The sequence below is a fragment of the Homo sapiens genome, chromosome 7 (assembly GCF_000001405.40).
Source record: "Homo sapiens chromosome 7, GRCh38.p14 Primary Assembly".
Classification (NCBI taxonomy): Eukaryota; Metazoa; Chordata; class Mammalia; order Primates; family Hominidae; genus Homo; species Homo sapiens.
This window is the reverse complement of record NC_000007.14, coordinates 54,404,621-54,421,532: the sequence shown is the minus strand read 5'-3', so window position 1 is coordinate 54,421,532 and position 16,912 is coordinate 54,404,621. Positions and strand designations below refer to the sequence as shown.

At 36.0% G+C, this 16,912-nt stretch overlaps 1 pseudogene; it reads right to left on the bottom strand.

Moving 5' to 3' along the window:
• Positions 933–2,162, bottom strand: SLC25A5P3 (solute carrier family 25 member 5 pseudogene 3; annotated as a pseudogene).

Sequence of the window (16,912 nt, the reverse complement as noted above, 5' to 3'; positions counted from 1 at the left end):
ACACATTTGACATTGGAGTGAAGTGCTGAGTGTGGTAAACAGGTTGTTTTTTCTACACAACCTTCAAGACTCCAATTTATGTATGTTAGATCTTTTGTTTTTCACCATTTTGTTCCTCTGTGCTTCGTTCTAGAACTTAGGTGAGGAAAAATTATCTAGGTTACCTGGATCACACTTTGAAAACTGCTTCCCTATGGTGCCACTCTTCAAAATTTCAACCCGTTCTCCCTTCTTAATGGGCTCCAAGTCTGGATTGTTTTTCTTCTTAGCAGCGTGAGTCATTAGAACACATTTTTCACTTTCTCAGTCTCTCTGAGCCTCCCCTAAATGAGCAGATTCTGCCAGGAAATACGTAAAAAACAGGGTTCAGATCTCTGAATTTTCTTTTTCCTGGGAGTCTCAAATATATAATTCTTCACCATCTCTTTGACTTTACGTTGCCTTAATATACATACTTAAAATACTTTCTTCAGCTTTCTCAGTTGTTCTTTTGGGAAAGGTTGTTCAAACCCTTGTGCCACTTATAACTGACAACAGATCTCTCTCCATTTTACATTGGACAAAGTTTTAGCTGTTATCTTCAATGCAAAAATAATCAGAAAGTTAAAATGTGATTATTGTTAAAATATTCTAATTAGCCGGGCATGGTAGTGCGTGCCTGTAGTCCCAGCTACTCCAGAGGCTGAGGCAGGAGAATCCTTTGAACCTGGGAGGCGCAGGTTGTGGTGAGCAGAGATTGTGCCACTGCACTCCAGCCTGGGCAACAAAGTGAGACTCTGTCTCAAAAAAATCTATATATATTCTATTTAGTCTTTTAAATATGCATAACTTTACATACATAGGGAATTTTCATTATGGACGTTTGTGTAATGAAGGGTGCACATCATAACCATGGTTAAATTTGTTAGTAAATAAAAAGCCATAGGTTTTTAAAAATTTTTGTATTTAGATATTTTTATTTCTCCAAATTTGTTGTTTATCAGTAGTGGCTGAAATAAGAAATATAATTGAGTCCCATCATCGTCATCATCATGAAAATGGCTTTAAGAGAAAACTGGTCAGATGAATATTATTGTTTCCCATTTTCTACCAACAAACAGTTGCCATTCATGAATTGACAGCCAGGAGTCTGTCAAGAATGCTCAAGATATGTTATATAATACAACATGCCTGTTCACAGGGGGAAAAACACCCAGGAAATAACTTACCTGTACTTCTTGATTTCATCAAACAAGACAAGCACAAAAGCACCACCCATGCCTCTGAGAACACTGGACCATGAACCCTTGAAAAAAGCTTTGCCTCCTTCATCACCAGCAATCTTCCTCCAGCAGTCAAGTGTGCCTGTGTACATGATGTCAGTTACTTTGCGCCCTGACTGAATCATCACGAGAGGCGAACGATGTCAAATGAATAGGAAGTCAACCCAGAAAAGGCAGTGACAGTCTGTGTGGTCATCCAGCTGATGACGATGTGAGTGTCCTTGGGATCCGGAAGCATTCCCTTTGCGGTGTCATAGATACCGAAGTAGGCAGCTCGGATAATACCCTGCATAGACACGTTAAAGCCTTGGTACAGGCCCTTAATCCCATCAGATTTGTAGATCTTAACCAGGCAGTCACAGAGGCCTCGGAATTCCCTTTCAGCTTCAGCTTTACCCACATTAGCTGCTAGACAGGTACGGGCAAAATCAAGAGGGTACACAAAACACAAGTATGTGGCCCCAGCGGCACCTCCTGATGCCAGATTCCCTGCAAAGTAGCGCCCAAACTGAGTCTTTTGTCCACACCACCCAGGAAGATCTGCTTGTATTTATCTTTGAAGGCGAAGTTAAAAGCCTGGGTGGGGAAGTATCTGATGGCATTGGCCAGGTTACCGCGCCAGGACAGGACTCCCTGCTTCTTGGGAATACGACCACGCAGTCTATAATGCCCTTGTATTGCTTAGCTGAGGTGATCTGCTTGCTGGCATGCTGCACCTGCAGCAGCAGCTTGACCTGCTCGATGGGCGCTACCGCTGTCTTGGAGATGGCTTCGGCCACTCCACCTGCCAGGAAGTCCTTGGCGAAGGACACAGCGGCATCTGTCATGTTGAAAGGAAAGAGGAGGCAGGCTGTTGCGGGACGGGATCAGGCCGGGAACCGGCTTTGACTCCGGGGCTGCCTAGGTTTTTTTATTAAGCAATTCCTAGGATTCCCCTCCCGCTGTGAAAAACACTCCAAACTCTTGAATTTTAACATTTTAAAAGATGGCGTAGGGTTTGCGGGAATGTGCAGAGATGCTTTCCTTTTCTGTTTGAATAAACGTCTGTACCTTCTCACAGGTCCTAAGAAAAGGAGACCGTGTCAAATACACCAGGCGGAGTTACTCAGAGGTGTGTTTTTGTCTTTCTCTAGCTAAGGAGTGCTTTCACTTCCTCAGGTCTTAGACGCCACTGAGACTCTGATAGAAACATCTGAGTTGTCTTCCTTAAAAAGGAAAGAGAGAGAGAGGGAGAAAGAGAGAGAGAGAGAGAGAGAGAGAGAGAGAGAGAGAGAACCAAAAGATGAGCACAGTTTCAGGTATTCCGAAGACAAAGCCTATTCATGGACCCCAAGGTAAAACTTCTGATCTGGTTGGAATAGTCTGGAGACTGTTCCGTCCGGATCCAGTTGTGAATGTGCCACCCACATGCCCCGTGTATCTACGTGTTAGAAGGCAATGCTTGAAATTCCTTCCACTTGCTGCTGTAAACCCAGCTAAATCCCCTGAAATCAGCTCATCAGAAACTCACTTTCATAATCAGAAAAGAAGAACATGGAGGGGCAAAACACATGCCTGAGAGTAGTTATTTTCATGTAAGATGATGCTTAGTAACATCTATTTTTAAAATTATATATACACATATTTAAAACTGAAATTATATAATTTATTAAAAACATGCTTGAAAGTTCACCCCCAAGACTTTTGTTGTTGCTGTTCTGTATGATCTTACATCACCACTACTCCATACCACTTTATATGATTAACACTTATATATATAGAGAACATATACATATGTTCTCTATATATGTATATGTTTAAGAAACATGTATATATGTTTCTTAAAGGCTAAATTTAAGAAAATGTTTTTAAGCATTCCTTTATCTCATTATTTTGCACATTCATTTGAAAATGTTTTCCTGCTGAGAAGCAACATAAAATAGAAAATTTCTATGTATAACAAAGAAGGTATTTTGTGTTTATATTTTATATTTCTATCATAGTGCATAAAAAATCAGGAAAGTGATGCCCTAACATAGTTTACATTTTATTAATTTTTGTTATTTTTAGTTTTTTTAAACAACTAAAAGGCTTTCATTCTAAGCTGACAAAAAATTGCCTATTTGATTATGGAGTAGCTGAAATACAGCAAATCCTTATTAATTTAGAGTCTATTAGTAAAGTATTTGAGATAATTTGAAAAGGAAGAATGCTATTTATGCAATTTAGAGATAAACCATGTTGGCAAGTGAGTTAGGTGTAAATAAGATTTTATAAGGGGTATTTGCTATTCTAAGAGAAGGAATTTTCAGTCACATTAACATCAATTTGGTGAGTCAACTCTGAAACCCGTTTTTTTTTTCTGTACCTTAGTGTAGATCCAGTGGGTCCTCTGTGCTGCTGAACATTATTAGCATAGTTCATTATGCCATTCACATGTAAGAGAATGGCTCTTCTATTTAGTATTCTAGAATTTATTCTATGCTTCATATAGAGAACTCACCATGCTCCTGTTAATCTAAATGAGTGTGGAAATCAGTATGAATTGGGTGATGGTGTCTATAACATTACACCTAATGCTAAAAACAACAACAAAGGCCAAAATGATCAGGTAGACCATACAAAATAGTATGTTTGCAGTTATTTTTCATCACATGAAAACCAAGATCAACTAAAATCATTAGCTGATCTGATTAGGTAACAAAAATAATGTATCTCAGATATATTTACTTATATGAATGAGGGAAGCAAAACAAGTGAACAGTGAGGTTCAAAAATGAACCTCACTGTCAAACAGAGTTGAGGTTTGAGGCCTGCAGGGTCCTCTGGGATTCCTTTTAAGCCATTATTAAGGATTTAAAAATCTTACTGATTTCATGTCCAATATGTAATCAATTGACTATATAAAAATACATGGATCATTGAAGTTTCTAGCAAATGCAAAAGACAAGTAAAAATAAAATCTAAGCAAATTAAGAATAGTAAAGGAAAAAATAAGGTATTTATAAAATAATAGAATTGTCCACAAAGAAAATCTTAATATAGGAAAAAAGTATTAAGACTAATCATAGTGTTTTTAGCAGTTTTAGTTGGATAAAAGGTGTTTATATTTTATCTGTACCTTTTAGAGAAAGAAGTGTTTCTCTTTTTTTTCAGCTTTATTGAGGTTTTACAAATAAAACTTTATATGTTGAAGTGATGTTTGAGATGCATATACATTGTGAAATGAGTACAATTAAGCTAATTAACATATTCATTACCTGACATAGTTACCCTTTTTCGTGTAGTGAGAACATTTAAAAATCTACTTTCAGCAAATTTCGAGTATACAATACTGTATTGTTAACTATAGTCATCATGGTATGCAGTAGCTCTCCAGAACGTATTCATCCTGCTTAACTACACTTTTGTACCCTTTGACTAATATCACCCTATTTTTCCCACCAGTCTCAGTCCCTGGCAACCACCATTCTACTCTCTGCTTCCATGAGTTCTGCTTTTTTAGATTCCACATTTGAGTATTTGTCTTTCTGTGCCTGGCTTATTTCACTTAACATAAAGTACTCCAGCTTTATCCCTGTTGCTCAAATAATAGGATATCCTGCTTTTTAAAGACTAAATAATTTTCCTGTATATATATATATATATATATATAAATATATTATATTTAATAGTCTATGACTATTATATAGACTAGACTATATATGTATAAAATAGTCTAATAGTCTGTATATAATAATATATATGGTATTATGTATATATAATAGTGTATGTACATAACATTATCTGTCCATGGACACTTAGGTTGATTCCATCTCTTGGCTATTGTAAAGAATGCTGCAGTAGACATGGGAATAGGATACATTAATGACACATCGATTTCATTTCCTCTGGATATATACCCAGAAACCAAATTGCTGGATCTTATAGTAATTCTATTTTTAATTTTTTGCAGAATCTCCGTGCTGTTTTCCATAATGACTCAACTAGCTTACGTTTCCACTAACCATGTACAAGTGTTTGTTTTCCACATCCTCACCAATACTTGTTTTTTTATTTTTAAAATTTTTGATAACAGCCATTCTAGCAGGTGGGAGGTGATATCTCATTGTGGTTCTGATTTCCATTTTTCTGCTAATTAGTAATGTTGAGCATTTTTCTGTATACTTGGTGGCCATTTGTATGCCTTCTTTGTAGAAATGTCTATTCAGGTACTTTGCACATTTTTAATTGGGTTATTTGTTTTCATGCTATAAAGTTGTTTGAGTTTCTTATGTATTTTGGATATAAACCCCTCATCAGTCACATGATTTGCAAATATTCTGTCTCATTATTTAGGTTGTCTCTACACTCTGTTGATTGTTTCCTTTGCTGTGTAGCAGAAGCTTGTTAGTTTGATGTCATACCACTTCTTTATTTTTGCTTTTGTTTCCTGTGCTTTTGGGGTCATATCAAAAAAAATTGCCCAGACCAATGTCATAGAGCTTTCTCTCTGTTTTCTTCTAGTAGTTTTACAGTTTCAGGTCTTACATATGTCTTTAATCCATTTTGAGTTTATTTTTGTATATCGTGTGAGACAAGGTCTAATTTCATTGCTCTGTGTGTGAATATCCAGTTTTCCCAGAACGACTTATTGAAAAGGCTGTCCTTTACCCATTGTATGTTCTTGGTGTCTTTGCTGCAAATCAATTGACTGTAAATGTGTGGATTTATTTATTGGCTACCTATTCTGTTCCATTGGTCTATATGACTGTTTTTATACAAGTACCATGCTGTTTTGATTACTATAGCTTTGTAGTAGATCTTGAAATCAGGTAAAGCAGTGCCTCCAGCTTTGTTCTTTTTGCTCAAGATTGCTTTAGCTATTCAGGGTCTTTTATGGTTCTATATAAATTTTAGGATTTTTTCTATGTCAGTGAAAAATATTGGAAATGTTATAGGAATTCTACTGAATCTGTGGATTGCCTTGGGTAATATGAACATTTCAATAATATTAATTTTTCCAATTAATGAGCACAGAATATCTTTCTATTTGTGTCTTCTTCAATTTCTTTCATCAATATTCTATAATGTTTAGTATACAGACTTTTCACCTCCTGAGTTAAATTTATTCCTAAATATTTTATTCCTTTTGTTGCTATTATAAATGTGATTGATTTGTTGGCTTTTTTATATAATAGTTTTTTTTGTTAGTATATAAAAATGCTACTGGTTTTTATATATAGATTTTGTACCTTGCAACTTCACTGAAATCATTTGTTACTTCTAACAGTTTTTTAGTGGAATTCTAAGGTTTTGTATATCTGTAAAATTATGTCATTTGCAAACAAAAACAGTTCACTTCTTCTTTTCTATTTTGTATGCCTTTTATTTCTTTTTCTTGCCTAAATGCTCTTGCTCGGATTTCTAGTACTGTATTGAATAGAAGTGGCAGGAGTGAGCATCTTTGCCTTGCTCCAGATATATATATATATATTTTTTGAGACAAAGTCCTGCTCTGTCACCCAGGCTGGAGTGCAGTGGCACAATCTCAGCTCACTGCAACCTCCGCCTCCCAGGTTCAAGTCATTCTCCAGCCTCAGCCTCCCAAGTAGCTGGGACTACAGGTGCATGCCACCGCGCCTGGCTAATTTTTTGTATTTGTAGTAGAGACAGGGTTTCACCGTGTTAACCAAGGTGGTCTCGATCTCCTGACCTTGTGATCCGCCCTCCTCAGCCTCCCAAAGTTCTGGGATTACAGGCGTGAGCCACTGCGCCCAGCTGTCTTGCTCCAGATTTACAGAAAAAACTTTCAGCTTCCCACCATTGAGTATACTAGTTCTGGGTTTGTCACATATGGCCTCTGTTACAATGAGGTAAATACCTTATATACTTAATTTGTTGGGAGTTTTTACCATAGAAGATACTTGAATTTTGTGATGGCTTTTCTGAATCTATTGAGATGGTAATAGGATCTTTATCCTTTATTTTGTTAATATGATGTACCACATTTATTGATTTGTGTATGTTGAATCATTCTTGCATCCCAGATAGAAACATCGTGTATGATCCTTTACTGCACTGTTGAATTCAGTTTGCTAGTATTTTGTTGAGAATTCTTGCATGTATCTTTATCTGGGATATTGGCCTGAAATTTTCTTTTCTTGTAGTATCCTTGTCTGGCTTTGGTATTGGGGTAATTATGGTCATGTAAAATGAGTTTGGAAGTGTTCCTTTGTCTTCAATATTTTGGAAGAGTTTGAGAAGAATTGGCATTTATTCAAGTGTTTGGTAGGATTCACCAGTAGGCCATCATGTCCTGAGCTTTTCTTTGTTGGGAGATTATTGATTACTGATTCAATGTCCCTACTTATTATCGATCTGTTCACATTCTCTCTTTCTTCAGAATTTAGTTTTTGTGAGTTGTATGCATCTATGAATTTATCCATTTCTTCTAGGTTATCAAATTTTTGGGTGTATAATTGTTCATAATAGTTTCTTATAATCCTCTGTCCTTCTGTGATATCAGTTGTAATGTCTCCTCTTTCATTTTACTTATTTGGATCTTCTCTGGGATTTTTTTTTTGTAAGTCTAGCTAAAGATTTGTCTATTTTATTTATCTTTTCAAAGAAACACCTCTTAGTTTAATTGGTCTTTTCTATTATTTTACTAGTTTCTCTTTTATTTATTTCTGCTCTAATCTTTATTTTTTTTTCTTTTTCTGATTTTGGGCTTAGGCTGTTCTTCATTTCTGTTTTCTTGAAGTGTAAAGTTTAGTTGTTTCTTTGAGATCTTTTTTTCTTCTTAATGTAGGTGTGTATTGCTTTATATTTACCTTTTAGAACTGCTTTGCTATATTTCATAATCTTTGGTATGTTGTATCTACATATTCATTTGTGTGAAGATATTTTTGATTGATTTTCCTTTTGATTTCTTCTTTCAGTCATTTGTTTTTCAGGTGTCTGTTTTATTTCCACCTATTTGTGCATTTTTCAGTTTTTCTGTTGTCATTAAGTTCTAATTTAATACTATTGTGGTCAGAAAAGATACTCGATATTATTTAAATCTTCTTAAATTTCTAAGATTTGCTTTGTGGCCTAATGTATATTCTATCCTGGAGAATGTTCAATGTGAGTTGAAAAGAATGTGTATTCTTCTGTTTCTGGGTAGAATGTTCTGTATATGTCTATTAGACTTACTTGGTGTAAAGTGTAGTTCAAATTCAAAGTTTCCTTATTGACTATCTATCTGAATAATTTATTTGTTGTTGAAAGTAGGGCATTGTATTTCCCTAGTGTTATTGCATTGCTATTTCTCCCTTCAGTTCTGTTAATATGAACTTTATATATTTAGGCACTCTGATGTTGGGTGCATATATATTTACAATTGCTATATACACTTGATGAATTGATCACTTTATTATTGTATAATAATTTTCTTTGTCTCTTTTTACAGCTTTGACTTATAACCATAAATGCCTACATTAAGAAAAAAAGAAAAATCTCAAATAAACAATCTAACTGTACACCTCAAGGAAGTAGAAACTAAGTCAGAAAAAGGAAGGAACTGATAAAGATTGGAGCCAAAATGAATAAAATAGGGATTAGTAAAACAATAGAAAATATTTAAGTATAGCTACACCTGCCATCATTTTCCTTTCATTTGCATATTTTTCCCATCACTTCAGTTTCAGCCTATATGTGTCCTTAAAGCTAAGTGACTATTATGTAGGCAGCATATAGTTGGATCTTGTGTTTTTATTCATTCAGTTATCTATGTCTTTTGATTGAATAATTTAATTCATTTACATTTAAAATAATTATTTCAAATGATTACTTTATTATTTAAGGACTTACTACTGCCATTTTAATAGTTTTCTTACTATTTTATAGTTCCTTTGTTCCTTTCTTTCTCATTTGCTTTTTCCCTTTATGATTTGATTTTTTTTGTAGTGCTAGTTATTTTTGTATATCTACTATAGGTTTTGGGATGTTTTTGTGATTATCATCAGGCTTACATAAAGCATCTTATAGTTATGAGTTTATTTGAATCTGATAACAACTTAACTTCATCACAATGAAAACGCTAAACATCGACTTTTCTTCCCAACATATTATGGTATCAGTTTCATAATTTACACTCTTTATATATTGTGTATCCATTAACAAATTATTATAGCTATATTCATTTTTAATACTTTTGTCTTTCAATTATCATTCTAGAGTTACAAGTGATTTATGAAACACCATTACAGTATTAGAGAATTCTAAATTTGACTACATTCTTACCTTTACATTAAGCTTTTCACATTCCTATACTCTCTTTACCTTTTCTCATTAGGCAGGTTCACTGGTGATGAACTCCCACAGTTTTGTCTGGGTAAGTCCTTATTTCTCCATTTGTGAAGAACATCTTTGCTGACTGTAGTATTGTTGTTTGGTAAGTTTGCTTTTTGTTCTTTTAGCACTTTGAGTATGTCATTCCACTTTCTGTTGTCTCCTGGCCTATACATTTCTGCTGATAAATCTGTTGATAGCCTTATAAAGGTTTGCTTGAATTAATTAGTTTCTTTTCTCTTATAAGTTTCAAAATTCTCTCTTTGTCTTTGACTTAAGAATTTGATTATAAAATGTCTCAGATCTCTTTAACCAAGATTGTCTAACCCATGGCCCTTGAATTACATATGACCCGGGATGGCTTTGAATGTGGTCCAATACAAATTTGTAAGCTTTTTATAAACATTATGAGCTTTTTTGTGATTTTTTTTTTTTTTAGCTCATCAGCTATTGTTAGTGTTAGTGCATTTTATGTATGGCTCAAGACAATTCTTCTTCCAATGTGGCCCAGGGAAGTCAAAAGATTGGACATCCATGTCTTTATCTTTATTTGGGATTCTTTGAACTTTATGGATTTTGATGTTCATTTCCCTCTCCAGATTTGGGAAGTTTTTTGTCATTATTTCTTTAAATAAACTTTCTTCCCTTTTCTCTTTTTTAGTTCCACCAGGACTCCTGTAATGCATATGTTTGCCCCCTTGATGGTGTCCCATACATAAGTCTTGTACCCTTTCTTTACCTGTTTTCATTATTTTTTCTTTATGTTCCTCTGACTGGGTAATCTCAAATGACCTTTGTTTGAGCCCACTGATTTTTTTCTTCTGTTTGATTAAGTCTGCTATCAAAGTTCTCCATGGAACTTTTTAGATCAGTCATTGTGGTTTTTAGCTCCAGAATTTTGGTTTGGTTCTTTTTATGATTTACATCTCTTGGTTGAACTTCTAATTTTGTTTGTATATTGTTTTTATGATATCTTTTATTGTCTATCTCTGTTTTGTTATAACTCACTGAGATTCTTTAAAATAAGCTTTTAAAATTCTTTTTAGGCAATTCATAGACTTTCATTTCTTTAGGATCTGTCACTGGTGCTTCCATTTCTTTATGGTCTGTTACTGGTGCTCCCTGTTAGTGGTGTCATGTTTCCCAACTATTTGTGTAACTTATGACTATGTATTGGTGTCTATGCATTTGAAGGAGACATCTATTTCAGTTTTTACAGACTAGCTTCTGCAGTGAAAGCCCTCTACCAGTTAGTTTATCCAGAGATTACGGGCAGGTAATCTGGTGAGCTGTGTCAGCTGACTTGTTTCTGGAAAACTTTGTGTAGCCTGGTTTAGTGCCTAGGCCAGGCTGGGTCCAGAGGGGTTACTCTGGTTCCTGGTTCCAGAGGGGCCAGGCAGAATTTAGAGTCCATGGTGCTGGCATCTGGGGCCACAAGGTTGGCCTGCAGCTTGGGTTTGCAGAATTGACTTGAATGTTTGGTCTTTAGGTGTTGGCCTAAGACAGTCCCCTGAGGAATAGTCTGAGATCTGGGGCCTTGGTCAGGAATAGTCTGACCATGCTGGGGTTGACCTGGAGGCTGGGTCTGTAGAGATTGACCTGGTTCTTCGGTAATGGGAACATGCCTGGAGCCTGTATCCATAGGAGTAATCTTGAAGCCTGCATCCTTGGAGGCTGGTCCAGTACCATGGTCTACTGAGTTGGCATTGAACCCTGGGTCTGCTGGAGTGGGCCTGGACCCTGGCTTTCCTGGAGGATGGAGCAGCAGATGCCTGCTTGGTGTCTGGGACCACAAAAGGCAGCCTGGTCTATGGGTGCTGACCTGGGTCTGGGGTGGGCCTGGAGGCTGAGTCTGTGGATGCTGTCCTGCAAACTGTGGCTCACTGTGTGGTGGTGCAGACCTGGATCCTGGGGCTGCGGCAATGAGCCTGGTGCTGTGGCAAGCCTGGAGGCTAGATCTGTGGAGTACTAACCTAGCACAGGGGCCTGTTTCGAGCCCCAGGCATGTCTAGAACCTGAGGCTGTGGAGGCCATTCTGGAACCTGGAGCGTTGGTGTTTGATCTGGGGTCAGATGTTACTGGGGCTTGCATCTACAGCAAAGCTGGGTTCTCACTTTACTTGCTTTTGACCACATGGATATTATCTCTATTTGCACTGCCCTCTTCAATGTGTCTTTTCTGTGCTATACCTAGGTGCTGTAATCTCTTACCTGGATTTCTTAGCTCTTATGAAGCTATTTCTGTGCATGTACAGTTATTCAAATTGACATTTCTGTAGCGGGACAAGCCCTGGAAAGTCCTATTTCACAATGTTTCTGGTATCAATCTTACAAAGAGTTTTTAGATACTATACTAAAGTAACAACCCATGAAGGAAAAAATGTAAAATTGGCCTTTATGAAAACTTTAAAAAATGTTCTGTGCTGAAAACCTTGTTAAGAACTTAAAAAGACAAGATTCAGATTGACAGAAAAGTTTGCAAATCAAATTACTGACCTCAAATAATTGTGTCCAGAATATATAAAGAACTTCTGACACTCAACAATAGGTAAATAGATAAACAATAGGTAAATTGAGCAATTTTGAAAATGGCAGAAGATCTAAACAAACACTTCCCCCCAAAATATACAAATGAAAATTTGGCATATTAAAAGATATCCAACATTATTATTCATCGGGGAAATGTAAATTAAACCTCAATGAGATACCACTATAAACCTACTAAAATGGTTACAGTTGTAAAAAGCAATAACAATACCAAGCATTAGTGACTATACTGAGCAATTGAAAATATTTTTGTTCAGTGATTGTAGGAAAACAAAATGGTACACACACCATGGAAAATAGTTTGGTAATTTATTATCAAGTTAAATATATGTACTATATGTTCCAATGCCCATGGCTTCCACAAGCTTGCTGGCCAACTGTTGATCAGAACACTCCTTAGTGGTAAATGAAGAATTAGTACTAAAGTCAACTATGAGATAATGAAATTTATCTTGAGATTGGCATATGATGATTGAATGTTACCAGGTCTTGACACCTCCTGATATTGCATCTTTAGATACGTTATTTAACCTTATTGAGTCTATCTGTGATTCATGGGTTAAATGGAGACGTACCAGTCTTGCAATCATACACTAGTATGAATACTTTAAAGTTGTTAAATATTCTCTACTTTACAAGATAGATAAGTTTATGGAATGTTATTATGATCATTATCATAATCACTATCATCTGTGTTTCCTCATTACCAATCTGAAACTCTTCAAACACATTGTCCCTTAAGAATAGACTGGAAGTTTTCAAGGATATTGTAAAAAGATGTCATATTCTTCCTTTTGGCCACAGGGTGGTCTTTTTCCTTACAGAACACAGATGTCACAAGGACAAGAGCATGAACCAGGGCTGAGTATTAATACGAATAACTTTCTCTTTTATCTGTATAACCAAAACATCTTTTCACCCCGTAATTATAGCTACCCACTTAATTTTTGCAAACAGATGAGAGTACATTGGGTTAAGCCAGTAGTGTATTTTCAATCTTTACCTCTTCCATTTCTATATCGATTCTGTTATAGGAGTTAATAATGAGAAATTACAAATACAGTTGCTGGTAGATAAGCCCACAAAGTTTAGAAAAAATTGATACAAAAACACTGAAAACTCAAAAAGCCAGTGTGCCTCTTCTCCTCCAAAAGCACAGAACTAGGCTAAGGCTGAGATGGCTGAACTGATAGACATAAGCTTCAGAAGGTAGGTAGTAATGAACTTTGCTGAGCTAGAGGAGCATGTTGTAACCTGATGCAAAGAAGCTAAGAATCAAGATAAAACAATACAGGAGCTGATAGGCAGAATAGCTAGTATAGAGAGGGACATAATTGACCTGATGGAGCTGAAAAATGCAATATGAGGACCTCACAGTGCAATCACAAGTATCAGTAGAAGAGTAGACCAAGCGGAGGAAAGAATCTCCAAGTGTGAAGACTCTCTTTCTGAAATAAGACAAGCAAACAAGAATAAAGAAAAAATGAAATGGATTGAACAAAACCTCTGAGAAATATGGGATTATGTAAAGAGACCAAACCTATCACTGATTGGGGTATCTGAAAGAGATTGGGAGAACAGAACCAAGTTGGGAAATATACTCCAGGATATCATCCAGGAGAACTCTCCCAACTTAGGAAGATGAGCCAACATTCAAATTCATGAAATGCAGAGAACCCCAATAAAATACTCCAGAAGAAAATCAACCACAAGGTATATAATTATCAGATTCTTCAAGGTTGAAATGAAAAAAAAAGATGTTAAAGTCAGCCAGAAAGAAAGACCTGGTCACCTACAAAGAGAAACCCATCAGACTAACAGCAGACCTCTCAGTGGAAACCCTACAACCCAGAAGAAATTGAGGGCCAATATTCAACATTCTTAAAGAAAAGAATTTCCCACCCAGAATTTCATATCTGGCCAAACTAAGCTTCATAAGTGAAGGAGAAATAAGATCCTTTTCAGACAAGTAAATGCTTAGAGAATTCATTACCAACAGGCCTGCCTTGCAAGAGCTCCTGAAGGAAGCACTAAATATGGAAAGGGAAAAAACATTACCAGCCACTACAAAAACACACCAAAATACACAGACAAGTAACACTATGAAACAACCACATAAACAAGTCTGCAAAATAACCAGTTAGCATCATGATTGCAGGATCAAATTCATACATAACAATACTAACCTTAAATTTAAGTGAGCTAAATGCCCCAATTAAAAGGCATGGAATGGCAAACTGGATAAAGAGCCAAAATCCATAGGTATGCTGTCTTCAAAAGGCCCATCTCACATGCAAAGACACATATAGGCTCGAAATAAAGGGTTGGAGGGAAATTTACCAAGCAAATGGAAAACACAACAAAGCAAGGCTTGCAATCCTAGTTTCTGACACAACAGACTTTAACCTAACAATGATCAAAAAAGACAAAGAAGGGCATTACATAATGGTAAAGGGTTCAATTTAATAAGAAGAGCTAACTATCTTAAATATGTATGCACCCAATACAGGAGCACCCAGATTCATAAAGCAAGTTCTTAGAGACCTACAAAGAGACTTAGACTCCCACATAATAATAGTGGGAGGCTTTAACACCCCACTGACAGTATTAGACAAATTATTAAGACAGAAAATTAACAAAGATATACAGGACCTGAACTCAGCTCTGAATCAAGTGGACCTGATAGATATCTACAGGACTCTCCACACAAATTCAATAGGATATATATTCTTCTCATCACCACATGGCACTTACTCTAAAATTGATCACATAATCAGAAGTAAAACACTCCTCGGTAAATGCAAAAGAACTAAAATAATCATAAACAGTCTCCCAGACCAGAGTGCAATCAAATTAGAAATCAAGACTAAGAAATTCACTCAAACCACACAGCTACATGGAAATTGAACAACTTGCTCCTGAATGACTCTTGGGTAAATCATGAAATTAAGGCAGAAATCAAGAACTTATTTGAAACTAATGAGAACAAAGAGACAACGTACTAGAATCTCTGAGATGCAGCTAAAGCAGTGTTAAGAGGGAAAGTTATAACACTGAATGCCCACATCAAAACACTAGAAAAATCTCAAGTTAATGACCTAACGTCTCAACTAAAAGAACTAGATAACTAAGAGCAAACAAACCCCCAATCTAGCAGAAGACAAGAAATAACCAAGATCAGAGCTGAAATGAAGGAGATAGAGACATAAAAAATACTTCAAAAAAACCAACAAATTGAGAAGCTAGTCTTTTGAAAAAGTTAATAAAATAGACTGCTAGCTAGACTAATAAAGAAGAAAAGACAGAAGAATAAAATAAATACAATCAGAAATGATAAAGGGGATGTTATCACTGACCCCACAGTAATACAAACAACCATCAGAGAATACCATAAACACCTCTATGTACATAAACTAGAAAATCTAGAAGAAATGGTTATATTTCTGGACACATACACCCTTCCAAGACTGAACCAGGAAGAAATTGAATCCCTGAATACACCAATAATGAGTTCTGAAATTAAGGCAGTAATAAATAGCCTACCAACCAAAAAAAGCCCAGGACTAGATAGATTCATAGATGAATTCTATTAGAGGTACTAAGAAGGGCTGGTACCATTTCTACTGAAACTATTCCAAAAAATTGAAAAGGAGGGACTCCTCCCTAAGTGATTCTATGAGGGCAGCATCATCCTGATACCAAAACCTAGCAGAGATACAATAAAAGAAAATTTTAGTCTATTGTCCTTGATGAACACTGATGCAAAAATCCTCAATAAGATACTGACAAACTGAGTCTAGCAGCACATCAAAAAGCTTATCCACCATGATCAAGTTGGCTTCACCCCTGGGATGCAAGCTTCTTGGTTCAGCATACACAAATCAATAAATGTGATTCATCACATAAACAGAACTAAAGACAAAAACCACATGATTATCTTAACAGGTGCAGAAAAGGCCTTCAATAAAATTTAAAATCCCTTTACGTTAAAAACTTTCAATAAGCTAGGTGCTGAAGGAACATACCTCAAAATATTAAGAGCCATATATGATAAACCCACAGCCAATATCATACTGAGTGGGCAAAAGCTAGAAGCATTCCCCTTGAAAAGCAGCCCAAGACAAGGCTGCCCTCTCTCACCACTCCTATTCACCTTAGTATTGCAAGTTCTGGCCAGAGCAATCAGGCAAGAGAAAGAAATAAAAGGTATTCAAACAGGAGGAGAGAAAGTCAAATTGTCACTGTTTGCACATGACATGATTTTATTCTAGAAAACTCAATCATTTCAGCACAAAAGCTTCTTAAGCTGATAAGCAACTTTAGCAAAATCTCAGGATATGAAATTAATGTGCAAAAGTCCCTAGCATTTCTATGCACCAACAATGGGCAAGCAGAGAGCCAAACTATGAATGAACTCTTATTAACAATTGCTACAAAAGAAATAAAATACCTAGGAATACAGCTAATGAGGGAAGTGAAGAACCTCTTCAAAGAGAATTATAAGCCACTGCTCAAAGAAATCAGAGATGACACAAAGAAATGGAAAAACATTCCATGTTCATGGATAGGAAGAATCAATATCATGAAAATGGTCATACTGCCCAAAGTAATTTATAAATTCAATGCTATTCCTATTAAACCACCGTTTAAATTCTTCACAGAATTAGAAAAACTATTTAAAAATTCACCTGGAACCAAAAAAGAGCCCAAATAGCCAAGGCAATTCTAAACAAAAAGAACAAAGCTGGAAGCATCACACTACCTGGCTTCAATCTGTACTGTGAGGCTACAGTAAACAAAACAGCATGG